Below are 14746 nucleotides of genomic sequence, written 5' to 3'. Positions count from 1 at the left end.
TTTAGTAGAGACAGGGTTTCACCATGTTGGCCAGGATGGTCTCGAACTCCTGGCCTCAAGTGATCCACCTACCTCAGCCTCCCAAAGTGCTGGGATTACAGGCGTGAGCCACCGCACCAGGCCTGATGAGAAATAATTTAAAGATTGAATTTATCACTAAAAGGAAAGCAGAGCAGAAAGATTTAGAAAATTCACAGCCTGGCCTGGTAAAGAGTGAAAAGGCATCTTTAGGAGAGCAAACCAAGGCCATAGCCAAGCAAAAATTTGCTAAAGAGATTGTAGGAATAGAGGAAAGCCAGGTTCCATTTATTAAGGCAATGGAAGGATGATCCCAGAGGCATTTCAGAGCTCTTTAAGACAAGCCAGGGCCTTGAGGGCGAGGTTTCCAGAGAGGCCCCTGTGAAACCTCAACATTTGCTGCTCTGTACTGACTCCTGCCCAGGAGTTCGAGGCTGCAGTGAGCTGTAATCATACCACTGTACTCCAGCCTGGACAACAGAGCAAGATGCTTGTCTCAAAGGAAAAGAAACACCCTCTAGCAACCTAGCCGCCCACCACACTACTGAAAACCAAAGAGAAAGAGAAAATTTTGAAGACGACCAAAAACAGAAGACACATTAAATGCAGAGGAACGAAGATAAGAATTATACCAGGTTTTTCATTAGAAACTGTGCAAACCAGAAGACAATAAAGTGACATTTAAAAAATATTGAAAAAACCCACTTTTAACCAGAGTTCTATACTCAATGAAAATACTTTTCAAAAATGAAGGCAAAATGAATACTTCTTTAGAAAACAAACCTAACAATTTATTACCAACAGTCCTGTACTATAAGCAATATTGGCCAGGCACGGTGGCTCCCGCCTATAATCCCAGCACTTCGGGAGGCCGAGGTGAGCAGATCACCTGAGGTCGGGAGTTCAGGACCAGCCTGACCAACATGGAGAAGCCCCATCTCTACTAAAAATACAAAAATTAGCCAGGCGTGGTGGTACATGCCTATAACCCTAGCTACTCGGGAGGCTGAGGCAGGAGAATCGCTTGAACCCGGGAGGCAGAGGTTGTGGTGAGCCGAAATCACACTACTGCACTCCAGCCTGGGCAACAAGAGTGAAACTCCATCTCAAAAAAAAAAAAAGAAAGAAAGAAAGAAAAGAAATGTTAAAGAGAGTTCTTAGGCCAGGCGCGGTCGTTCACGTCTGTAATCCCAGCACTTTGGGAGGCCAAGGTGGATCACTTGAGCCCAGGAGTTTGAGACCAGCCTGGGCAATATAGTGAGACCTTGTCTCTACAGGAAAAAGAAAAGAATTAGCCAGGCATGGTGGTGCACACCTGTAGTCCCAGCTCCTTGGGAGGCTGGGGTGGGAGGACTGCTTGAGCCCAAGAGGTAGAGGCTGCAGTGAGCTGTGATCATGCCACTATGCTCTAGCCTGGGTGACAAAGCAAGAGCTTGTCTCAAAAAAAAAAAAAAAAAAAGTTCTTTAAGCAAGAGGAATATGATATCACAGAATCTGGTATTATACACAAAGCAAAGAAATCTACACACAAAAAATGAAGATTTCTGGAAATGACTAAAATTAAATATAAAAACTTTTTTACTTTTATTTTTGATCTCTATAAAAATTATTGACTTTCAAAAAGAAATATAGTGGAATGTATTATGGGTTTATTGCACATTTATAAATAAAAACAATCATAGAAAAGATTAAAGAGAAGAATTTAAAGTGTACTGTTACTAGGTTCTTCTTTTTTTTGAGACGAAGTTTCGCTCTTGTTGCCCAGGCTGAAGTGTAATAGGGCAATCTCAGCTCACTGCAACCTCCGCTACCCAGGTTCAAGCGATTCTCCTGCCTCAGCCTCCCGAGTAGCTGGGATTACAAGTGCCTGCCACCATGCCTGGCTAAATTTTTGTATTTTTAGTAGAGATGGGGTTTCACCACGTTGGCCAGGCTGGTCTCAAACTCTCGACCTCAGGTGATTGCCCGCCTTGGCCTCCCAAAGCGCTGGGATTACAGGCATGAGCCACTGCGCCCAGCCAATAGTCTTTTTTTTTTTAATTAAAATTTTTTAAAAAAGAAAATAAGTAAATAGTGTCCTATCATATATTAAAGAGGCATCAATATTGTTCGTAGAATTAATTAGCAGATATGAAAAAGTTCTTAAATGTTACAATTTTAAAAATATTGTGCACCCATAAAATATAGCTGTTTACACTCCTTAAAAAAAGAACCTGGTATACGGGCCGGGCGCAATGGCTCACGCCTGTAATCCCACCACTTTGGGAGGCCGAGGCGGGCGGATCACGAGGTCAGGAAATCGAGACCATCCTGGCTAACACGGCGAAACACTGTCTCTACTAAAAATACAAAAAATTAGCTGGGTGTGGTAGTAGACGCCTCTAGTCCTAGCTACTTTGGAGGCTGAGGCAGGAGAATCGCTTGAACCCAGGAGGCAGAGGTTGCAGTGAGCCGAGATCCTGCCATTGCACTCCAGCCTGGGCGACAGAGCAAGACTCCATATAAAAAAAAAAAAAAACAAAAAAAAAAACCCTGATATACAAGGAGATAGCCCTTGATCCAAAACCAAGAGAAAAGACAGACAATAGAAAGAAAGAAAAACAACAACAACAACAAAGCACCAGTGCGGTGGTGGGAGAGGTACCGGCAGGAGCAGCGCTGCAGCCGGGGTCTGGGGTTGACCCGTCTGACTTCCCGTCCGTGCCAAGCCCACTCAAGCCGCAGCCATGTCTGGGGACGAGATGATTTTTGATCCTACTGTGAGCAAAAAGAAAAAGAAGAAAAAGAAGCCTTTTATGTTAGATGAGGAAGCGGATACCCAAACAGAGATAACCCAGCCTTCAGAAACAAAAGAAGTGGGGCCAGAGCCAACTGAGGACAAAGATTTGGAAGCTGATGAAGAGGACACTAGGAAAAAAGATGCTGCTGGTGATCTAGATGACTTGAACTTCTTTAATCAAAAGAAAAAGAAAAAAAAAACTAAAAAGATATTTGATATTGATGAAGCTGAAGAAGGTGTAAAGGATCTTAAGATTGAAAGTGATGTTCAAGAACCAACTGAACCAGAGAATGACCTTGACATTATGCTTGGCAATAAAAAGAAGAAGAAGAAGGTCAAGTTCCCAGATGAGGATGAAATACTAGAGAAAGATGAAGTTCTAGAAGAGGAAGACAGCAAAAAAGATGATGGTATCTCATTCAGTAATCAGACAGGCCCTGCTTGGGCAGGCTCAGAAAGAGACTACACATATGAGGAGCTACTGAATCGAGTGTTCAACATCATGAGGGAAAAGAATCCAGGTATGGTTGCTGGGGACATAAGGAAATTTGTCATGAAACCTCCACAGGTCGTCCGAGTAGGAACCAAGAAAACGTCTTTTGTCAACTTTACACATATCTGTAAACTATTACATCATCAGCCCAAACATCTCCGTGCATTTTTGTTGGCTGAATTGGGTACAAGTGGTTCTATAGATGGTAATAACCAACTTGTAATCAAAGGAAGATTCCAACAGAAACAGATAGAAAATGTCTTGAGAAGATATATCAAGGAATATGTCACTTGTCACACGTGCCGATTACTGGACACAATCCTGCAGAAGGACATGCGAATCTATTTCCTACAGTGCGAAACTTGTCATTCTAGATGTTCTGTTGCCAGCATCAAAACCAGCTACCAGGCTGTAATGGGCAAGTGAGCACACCACCGTGCCAAAGCTAACTAATTTGCTAATCACTGATTTTGCAAAGCGTGTTGTGGAGATGTGGCTGGACAGGTTTGCCATCAGAGTGGATATACCGTTGTATTAAAAACAAGATAAAAAACCTGCCAAGATTTTTGGCGAGTGGTTGATTGGTCTGAAGTCCTTACAAGACGCTGATGCTCAAGCTGTTGACATACTCATTGCCTACTTTAACACCTGTCAGAGAAACATGATATGAGGTAAGGAGGTGCTTTTTAAAAATTGTTCATAGATTTCTGTAAAATGCAAGATAAATTAAAGTTATTATAACTGTGAAAAAAAAAAGCACCATACAGCTAATGGAGTTGCAAAACAAGATTTTGAGACAGGGTCTTGCTCTGTATCTAGGCTGGAGTGCAGTAGTGTGATTATATCTCACTGCAGCTTCAACTCCTGGGCTCAGGTGATCCTCCCACCTCAGCCTCCCAAGTAGCTAGGACTACAGGTGCATGCCACCATACTGGTGTAATTTTTTAATGTTTTGTAGAGACGGGGTCTCCCTATGTTGCCCAGGCTGGTCCTGAACTCCTGGCCTCAAGCAGTCCTTCCACCTCAGCCTCCCAAAGTGCAGGGATTATAGGCCACAGCCACCAGGCCCAGCCCAAGCAAGATTTTTAAAAATTGAATTTTCAAAAACTTTAAAGACAAGATGGAGTACTTTGGCTGGAAACTATAAAAAGTAATCGGATGGAAATTCTAGAATTGAAAAATGCAAAAAATTACAAACGAGATGGATTTACTTACTGGCTAGTCAGTTAAAAAGAGAAAAAGACTGGGTGATAGTTGTAAGAAAATAGTTACAGTTGACCCTTGAAAAACATGGGCTTGAACCGTGTGGATCCACTTATAGATTTTCTTCCACCTCTGCTGCTCCTGAGACAGCAAGACCAACCCTTCCTCCTCCTCCCCCCCTCTTCTTCCTCTTCCTCCTTTTCCTCCTCCTCAGCATGAAGACCATAAAGACAAATACCTTTATGATGATCCACATCCACTTAATAGTAAATATATTTTCCTTATGACTTTTTAAATAACATCTTATTCCCTGTAGCTTACTTATTGTAAGAATACAGTATATAATACATATACAAAATATGTGTTAATGGACTGTTTATGTTATCAGTAAGGCTTCCAGTCAATAGTAAGCTATTCATAGCTGAGCTCTGGGGGGAGTCAAAAGTTATACACGGCTGGGCACGGTAGCTCACGCCTGTAATCCCAGCTACTCGGGAGGCTGAGGCAGGAGAATCGCTTGAACCCTGAACCCAGGAGGCGGAGGTTGCAGTGAGCCAAGATCATCCCACTGCGCTCCAGCCTGGCAACAGAGCAAGACTCCATCTTAAAAAAAAAAAAAAGTTATATACAAATTTTCGACTGCATGGGGTGGGACAGCACCCTAACCCCTGCATTATTTAAGGGTCATCTGTTACTAAGGCATGGGTAGGCAAAAGGATGAGAAACATAAAGAGGTTATGGTAAAGAAGTCTAACATACATGTAACTGGCATCTCAGAAAAAAAGAATGGGACTGAAGCTCTATGTATTAGTCAGCTCATGCTGCCATAAAATACCATAGAATAGGTGGCTTTTTTTTTAGATGGAGTTGTGCTCAGTCTGGAGCAGAGTGGCGCAACCTCGGCTCACCGCAACCTCCGCCTCCCAGGTTCAAGCCATTCTCGTGCCTCAGCCTCCCTAGTAGCTGAGACTACAGATGCGTGCTATCATGCCTGGCTAATTTTTGTATTTTTAGTAGAGACGTAGTTTCACCATGTTAGCCAGACTGGTCTCGAACTCCTGACCTCAGGTGATCCTTCTGGCTTGGCCTCCCAAAGTTCTGGGATTACAGGTGTGAGCCACCATGCCCAGCCAGAATGGGTGGCTTGAACAGAAATGTTTTCAAATTGTGGAGGCTGGAAGTCTGGGATCAGGGTGCCAGCACAGTTGGGTTCTGGTGAGAGCTCACTTCCTGGGTTGCAGATGGTGCTTTTTCGCTGTGTTCTTACATGGCAGAGTGGGATGCGGGGTAAAGGGCGCTCTCTGGTATTTCTTTACAAGCACACATTCTGTAGTATCAGAACCCCACCCTCAAGACCTCATTAAACCTTAATTCACTCCTTATAGGGCCTATTTCCAAATACATTCACATTGAGAGTTAGGGCTTCAATATGTGGATTGGGGGGTGGGGAGACACAATTAGGTCTATAGCACTGTATAAACCCTAAGCAGGATACATACAAAGTCACACTGAGGTGTATCAGAGAAAAACTGCTAAAAACCAAAGATACAGAAATATCTTAAAACTAACCAAAGAGCAGAGGCAGGTAGATTGCTTTGAGCCCAGGAGTTCAAGACCAGCCTGGGCAATATAGCAAAACCCTGTCTCTACTAAAAATACAAAAACTAACTGGGCATGATGGTGCGTGCCTATATTCTTAGCTACTCAGGAGGCTGAGGTAGGAGGATGGCTTGAGCCTGGGAGATGGAGGTTGGAGTGAGCTGAAATCGTGCCATTGCATTCCAGACTGAGTGACAGAGCCAGACCCTGTCTCAAAGAAAAAAAAAAGTAACCAAGGAGAAAAAGATTATTTTCATAGGAACAATAATTAAACTGACTATGATTTTGCAACAGAAAAAATTGAAGCAGACAATGGCATGATGCCTTCAAATAACTGAATGAGGTGAGGTCAGTAGGAGTGGTGGCATAAGGGCCTCTAAAAACCTATTCCTCCATAAAAGCAATGAGAATATTGAGATAACTTGTAAAATAAAAATGTTCAGAATTCTGAAATTAACCAAAGCTTTGCAACAACCCAAGGAACTTTTTTTTTTAAGGCTGTATCTCAGTAAGAATGGTGAGCTTTGTGGTGTTTTAACTTGCCTTATTCTCAACACTCTCCTCAACTCCTCATTAGTCTTCAAAACCAACAGTTCTACAATCATAGTGAAGACCAGTAGCCTAGCAGCCACTTGCTAGGACCGAATGGGTTTGGAGATCCCCAAAATAGCATTATTTAAGAACTGTCCTTATTTGGCCTGTCTGACAATTGCCTGGAAACCCTCATTCACAAGACTTGCCTTGGCCAGCCACGGTGGCTCAGGCCTATAATCCCATTGCTTTGGGAGGCTGAGGTGGAAGGATTGTGTGAGGCTAGGCGTTCAAGACCAGCCTGGGCAACAGAGTGAGACACTGCCCCTACAACAAATAAAAAAAAATTAGGTGTGGTGGCACACACCTGTAGTCTCAGCGACTCAGGAGGCTGAAGCAGGAGAATTGCTTGAGCCCAGGAGTTCGAGGCTTCAGTGAGCTATGGTCACACCACCGCACTCCAACCTGGGTGATAGAGCAAGACCCTGTCTCGAAAAAAAAAAACAAACAAATGTTTGCCTTTATTTGACCCAACTCAGACCCCACTCGGTGAGAATAGCCTTTCACCTGGGACATTTGTTGAAAATAATCAGTAGCATGGCTAACATGCAGCTAACTAAGGTAGTGGTAACATTTGAGGCAAACAAGCTGCCCCCCAGCCAAAACAAACAAACAAACAAAAAACCATCGAAAGAAGAGCTGGGGAATGAGGTGTCCATAGGAGGCTTTCAAGACTGCTGACATGACTGGGTGCAGTGGCGCACAACTGTAATCCCAGCACTTTGGGAGGCTGAGACAGGCAGATCACCTGAGGTCAGGAGTTCGAGACCAGCCTGGCCAACATGGTGAAACCCCATCTCCACTAAAAATACAAAAATTAGGGGCTGGGTGCAGTGGCTTATGCCTGTAATCCAGCACTTTGGGAGGCCAGGGCTGGCGGATCACCTGAGGTCGGAAGTTCGAGACTAGCCTGACCAACATGGTGAAACCCTATCTCTACTAAAAATACAAAAATTATCCAGGCATGGTGGCGGGCGCCTGTAATCCCAGCTACTCGGGATGCTGAGGCAGGAGAATTGCTTGAACCCAGGAGGCAGAGGTTGCAGTGAGCCGAGATTGCGCCATTGCACTCCAGACAGGGCAACAAAAGCTAAGCTCCATCTCAAAAAAACAAAAAAACTGCTGACATATTCATGGGACTCTAGAAGGCCATGCACATACATGGGCTTATGTGCATGCTCAAATCTGTCCACATGCCAGGAAAGACCTAAGAAGGTCCTAAGTTCTAACACAACATCTGGCTGACCTTGAGGCACTGCAAAAAAATGATGAAAGCTAAGTCAGCATTTTTAAATGCCTGCCTGAGTGTGAAGGGTGCCCCAACACAAACATACACAGAGCCTCTTGGAAATGGCTGGGAGGGGAAATAGATTCAGTCATTTAAGTAACTATCTAATCACTAGCTGACCACTAAGCTAAGTGAGCAGAGAATTCAGTGACAAAGAAGACATACTTCACAGATTCATTTGGAAAAGCCACTAAAAAAAAACCCAACATCAACAACAACAAAAAAACAACATCAACAAGTCCTTAGAAGGGGAAATACTTTGATTTCCAGAGTAGTCACATTGTATTATTAGAAATGTCAGTTTTTGGCCTGGTATGGTAGTTCATGCCTGTAATCCCAGCACTTTGAGAGGCTGAGGCAGGTGGGTCATTTGAGGTCAGGAGGTTGAGACCAGCCTGGCCAACATGGTGAAACCTCATCTCTACTAAAAATACAAAAATTAGCCAGGCGTGGTGGCACATGCCTTTAGTCTCAGCTACTCAGGAAACTGAGGCATGAGAACTGCTTAAGTCCGGGAGGCAGAGGTTGCAGTGAGCTGAGATAGCAACAATGCACTCCAGCCTAGGCAACAGTGAGACTCTATCTCAAAAAACAACAACAAAAAAGAAATGTCAGGTTTCTGTATAAAATTATGAGACAAGCAAAGAAATAAAGTATTGTTCTTACACAGGAAAATAGCAATCTATAGAAACTATACTTGAAGATATTTTAAATGTGTTCAAAGCATTAAAGGAAATCATGTTTTTAACAATGTTAAAAAGTGCAATAGCTGAAATTAAAAATTCACTAGAGGGACTCACAAGCAAATGTGATTAAGTAAAAACCAAGACTCAGCAAAAGTCTTTTTTGATCCATTGGATCTCTAGGAAACACCAGAATTATCAGTGAAGAATATATTAAATGGCTCAAGGCCTACTGTCAGGCATATTTATATGGCTTGACAGTAAAACTCCTAGACCTGGTTCCTGTTTCTGCAACGAGGTGTTCCTTTAGAGTCAACAATAACTCACAAACAAAACCTACAAGTTCATGCAGGAGGCATCTTGAAGTTCTTAAAAAAGTCAGTTGAAGAAAAATTGAAGAAAAGTCAATTGTGATTGTCTAGTCTGAGGAACAGAAAGGAAGAAGGATAAATAAAAATGAATAGAACATCAGAGACCTGTGGGACATTATCAAGTATACCAACATACACATAATGAGAGTCCTAGTAGAAGAGAAAAGGACAGAAATAATATTTGAAGAAACAATTTGCTGAAAAACAAAATAAATTTGCTGAAAAACATTTATCTCCATATCCAAGAAGCTCAATGAACTCCAACTAGGACAAACTTAAAAAGATCCACACCTATACACATCATCATAATCAAACTGTCAAAATCCAAAGAAAAGAGTCTTGAAGAAAGAGAAATGCAATTAATCATTTAGAAGAGCTCCTTCACATGATTAACAGCTGACTTCTTATCAGTAACCATGGAGGCCAGAAAGCCATAGGATGACATTCAAAGTGCTGGAAAAAAGACTGTCAACCAAGAATTTTATGTCCAACAAAACCAACCTTCAAAGATGAAGCAAAATGTAAGTCATTCCCAGATAAACAAAACTGAGACAATTTGTCATTAGCAAACCTGTCACACAAGAAATACTAAAGGGAGTCCATCTTGAAATGAAGGAACACGAGACAGTAATTTGAGACCACATGAAGAAATAAAGAGCACTGGTAAAGGTAACTAAATAGATAAATATAAAAGACCATATGAATATATTTTTGCTTATAATTCTTTTTTTCTTTTAAATGATTTTAAAGACTACTGCATAAAGTTATAATTATAAACCTGTGCTGATGGGCACACAATGTATGAAGATGTAATTATGACAACATTGCAAAGAAGGGGAAAGGGAACAGAGCTACATAGGAGCTAGATTTTGTATACTATTGATATTAAGTTGGTAGTAACCTAAACTAGATTGTTAAATTAAGTTGTTAATTGTAATCTCCAAAACAACAAGGGAAATGACTCAAAAATATACATAGTAAAAAAAAAAAAATGACAAAGGAATTAAAATGGTATATTAGAAAATATCTATTTAATACAAAAGAGGACAATAATGGAAAATAGAAAGGAAAAATGACATAAGACATATAGAGAACATAGCAAAATGGCAGACATAATTCCTTCCTTAATAGTAATGACTTGAAATTGATTAAACACCCTAGTCAAAAGTAAGAGAATGGCAGAATGGATTTAAAAAATGATTCAACTATATGTTGTCTTACAAGTGACACACTAGATTCAAAGACATGAATATGTTGAAAGTAAAAGGTTGGCAGCCAGGCGTGGTGGCTTACGCCTGTAATCCCAGCACTTTGAGAGGCCAAGGCAGGTGGATCACGAGGTCAGGAGTTCGAGACCAGCTTGGCCAACATAGTGAACCCTGTCTCTACTAAAAATACAAAAATCAGCCAGGTATGGTGGCATGAGCCTGTAGTCCCAGCTACTCAGGTGGCTGAGGCAGGAGAATTGCTTGAACCTTGGAGGCGGAGGTTGCAATGAGCCGAGACCATGCCATTGCCCTCCAGCCTGGGTGACAAGTGAGACTCCATCTCAAAAAAAAAAAAAAAGATGGCAAAAGCTATACCATGCATACAGTAACTCAGAGAGAACTGCAGTGGCTATTCTAGTATCCCACAAAATAGATTTTAAGGCAAAAATTGTTACCAGTTATAAAAAGGGATATATTTTAATGATAAAATATCAATTTATTAGCAAGGCATAACTACAAACATATGTAATTAACAACAGAACCCCAAAATACATGAAACAAAAAAATAACAGAATTGAAGAGAGAAACAGACAATTAAAAAATAACAGTTGGAGACTTAAATATGCCACTTTTACTAATAAAACAAATAGGCGGAAGATCAAGAGGGTAATAAAAGACTTGAACAATACTATAATCCAATTAGACCTAACAGATTTTTATAGAACATTCTACCAAACAACAGTATAAGATACATTTTTCTCAAGTGGGAATGGAACATTTCCAGGATAGACCATATGTTAGGCCTATGACATATGAGACAAATCTCAATACATTTAAATTGACTGCAGTAATACCAAGTATTTTTCTCCAACTATAATGGAACAAAATTAGAAATAAACAACAGAAGGACATTTGAGAAGTTCACAGATATGAGGAAATTAGACAACACACTCCTAAATAACCCGTTGGTTAAAGAAAAAGTCACAAGGGATATTATAAAATACTATGAGAGGAATGAAACAAATATACAACACACCAAAATTTATGGGATGTAACTAAAGCAGTGCTGAGGAAGAAATTTATAGTTGTACATACCTATATATATTATATAACTACACCTACATACATATATGTATGTATGTATGCATATGTGTATCAAGTGATCCTCCTGCCTTAGCCTCAGCTGGGACTACAGGTGTGTGTCACCATACTCAGCTAATTTTTTTTTTTTGAAATGGGATCTCACTCCATCACTCAGGCCAAGATGCGGTGGCACAATCTCGGCTCACTGCCACCTCTGCCTCCTGGGCTCAAGCAATCCTCCCACCTCAGCCTCCCCAAGAAGCTGGGAATAGAGACATGCTCCACCACCCCCAGATAATTTTTTCTATTTTTGGTAGAGATGGGGGTCCCACCAGGTTGCCTAGGCTGGTCTTGAACTCCCATGCTCAAGTGATCTGCCTGCCTTTGACTCCCAAAGTGTTGGATGAAAGGCGTGAGCCACTGCACCCAGCCAAATTTTTAATTTTTTTGTTTTCTAGAGATGGGGTCTTGCTATGTTGCCCAGGCTGCTCTCACATTCCTGACCTCAAGTGATCCTCCTGCCTCAGCCTCCAGAGTAGCTGAGATTATAGGCACAAGCCACCGTTTAAATTTTTCTAGTTTTACATGTGATTTCCTCTTTGATGAGTAGGTTTAGAAGTGTGTTGTTTATCGTTTCTCGGCCTTTTGGCTAAGATCAAGTGTAGAAGTGTGTTGTTTAATTTCCAAATATTTGGACATATTTGGGGAATTAGACTTGACTTAAAATTGAGTTAAACTTGAAGTCAATAATACATAGTTGGAAAATCCCCAACTATGTATTATTGACTTCAAGTTGTATGACTTGTATTGACTTCAAGTTGTGTGTATTGTTGACTTCAAGTTGTATGTATTGACTTCATACTTGTATGATTTCAATTCTTTAAAACTTGTGGAGTTGTTTTTTAATGACCCAGAATATAGTTCATATTGTTTGAATGTTTCAAGCACTTCACAAATAATATATTCCCCTATTGTTGGGTATATTGTTCTATAAATATTCATTAGGTCAAGGTGGTTGACAGAGTTGTCAGGTCTTCAATATCTTTATTGATTTTCTTTCTAGTTCTGTTACTTAAAATGCTCAAGTCTCTAGCTATAACTGTGGATTTGTTTATTTCTCCTTTCAGTCCTGTCAGTTTCTAGCACCTCTGTTGTTAGGTACGTACATATGTAGAATTGTTATACCTCTTTGTGAATTAACATCTTTATCATTATGTAATGTTCCTTTTTATCCTTGGTGACATTCCTCATTCTAAAGTCAACTTTGGTAGTAATATAGACACTCTAGCTTTCTTTTGATGAGGGTTTGTGTATCTTTCCCATCCTTTTCTTGTTTATCTGTATATATCTTTTCTATTTGAAGTGGGCTTCTTGTAGATAGATTATAATTACTTTTTATCCAATCTGATGATCTATCTTTTAGTTTATTTAAACCGCTTACATTTAATGTTATTGGGCTTAAATATATCCATTTGCTACTTCTTTTCTGTTTATTTTCTTTGTTCTTTGTCCCCTTTTCCTCATTTTCTGTAATTCTAAAATTAACTGAGTACTTTTATGAATCTGTTTTATATCCATTAAAATTTTTGCCTAGTTATTGCCCAAAGGCTTACAATATACATCATGAATTAACCATGGTCTACTTTCAAAAATTATTATACTGATTCATATATAGTGTAAGAACCCTGGCCAGGTGCAGTGGCTCCTGCCTGTAATCCCAGCATTTTGGGAGGCCGAGGTGGGTGAATCATCTGAGGTCGGGAGTTCGAGACCAGCCTGACCAACATGGAGAAACCCTGTCTCTACTAAAAATACAAAAATCAGCTGAGCATATTGGCAGGCGCCTGTAATCCCAGCTACTCGGGAGGCTGAGGCAGGAGAATCGCTTGAACCTGGGAGGCGGAGGTTGCAGTGAGCCGAGATTGCGCCATTGCACTCCAGCCTGGGCAACAAGAACAAAACTCTGTCTCAAAAACAAACAAGAAAAAGAGTATCACTCTGTCACTCAGGCTGAAGTGCAGTGGTGCAATCTCGGCTCACTGTGACCTCTGCCTCCCAAGTTCAAGCGATTCTCCTGCCTCAGCCTCCCGAGTAGCTGGGATTACAGGCACCCGACACCACACCTGGCTATTTTTTGTATTTTTAGTAGAGACGGGGTTTCACAATGTTGCTCAAGCTGGTCTCAAACTGTTGACCTCAGGTAATCCGCCCTCCTTGGCCTCCCAAAGTGCTGGGATTACAGGCTAGTTCCAACATATTTCCAACACCCCAGAAGAAAATCCCATACCCATTAAGCAGTCACTCTGCATTCCCCTCACACCAGATTTAACCACCACCAGTCTGCTGACTCTATGAATTTACCTATTCTGGATATTTCATAAAACTGGAATCATAGAATATGTGAACTTTTGTGTCTTCTTTCACTTAGCATAATGTTTTTGAGGTTTATCCATATGGTAGCCTGTATCTGTACTTCATCTTTATGGCTGAGTAATGTATCATACGTATATAATCATTTTGTTTATCCATTCATATATTGATGGGTTGTTTACACCATTGGGTCATTGTGAATAGTGCTGCTATAGCATCTGTGTATAAATTTTTGTGGATGCATGTTTTCTTTTCTCTTGGGAAGACAGCTAGGAATGGAATTGCTGGGCTATATGGTAATTCTGTTTATCTTTTCAGGAACCACCAAACTCTTTGTCTACAGTGGCTGAACCATTTTACATTCCCATGAGCAATGTACAAGGTTCCCATTTTCAGGCTGGGCGGGGTGGCTCACGCCTGAAATCTTAGTACTTTGGGAGGCCAAGACAGGTGGATCACTTGAGATCAGGAGCTCAAGACTAACCTGGGCAACATGGCGAAACCCCATTTCTACTAAAAATATAAAAATTAGCCAGAAAAAAAATTAGCTGGGTGTGATGGTAAGCACCTGTAATCCCAGCTACTCCAGAGGCTGAGGCAGGAGAATCACTGGAACCCAAAAGGTGGAGGTTGCAGTGAGCTGAGATAGCACCACTGCACTCCAGCCTGGGTGACAGAACGACACTCCATCTCAGAAAACAAGAAGGCTCCCATTTTCCAGCATCCCCAACACCACTTTTTTTTTTCTGTATTTTTTGTTATAGCCATCCTTCTGGATGTGAAGTGGTATCTCACTGTGATTTGGATTTGCATTTCTCTGATTGCCACTGTCTTTCTGCTTCCAAGATCCTCTTTTCAGTTTTGGACAGTTTATATATGTCTCGACATGGATCTTTCCTGACTTATCCTATTTGGAGTTCTGCAAACTTCTTGGATGGGTACATTCAAGTGTTTTCACAAATTTGAGGTGTTTGGGGCCATTATTTCTTCAAATATTCTTTCTGCCCCTTTCTCTCTCCTCTCCTTCTGAAACTCCTATTTTGCAAAGGTTGGTATGCTT

General features: G+C 41.0%; 3 pseudogenes; 2 read left to right on the top strand and 1 right to left on the bottom strand.

Moving 5' to 3' along the window:
- On the top strand, positions 2641-4037 carry EIF2S2P3 (eukaryotic translation initiation factor 2 subunit 2 beta pseudogene 3; annotated as a pseudogene).
- On the top strand, positions 11946-12105 carry LOC124902594 (uncharacterized; annotated as a pseudogene).
- Positions 13186-13444, bottom strand: RN7SL644P (RNA, 7SL, cytoplasmic 644, pseudogene; annotated as a pseudogene).

This window comes from Homo sapiens, chromosome 10, assembly GCF_000001405.40.
Source record: "Homo sapiens chromosome 10, GRCh38.p14 Primary Assembly".
Classification (NCBI taxonomy): domain Eukaryota; kingdom Metazoa; phylum Chordata; class Mammalia; order Primates; family Hominidae; genus Homo; species Homo sapiens.
This window is presented reverse-complemented; position numbering and strand designations above follow the sequence as displayed.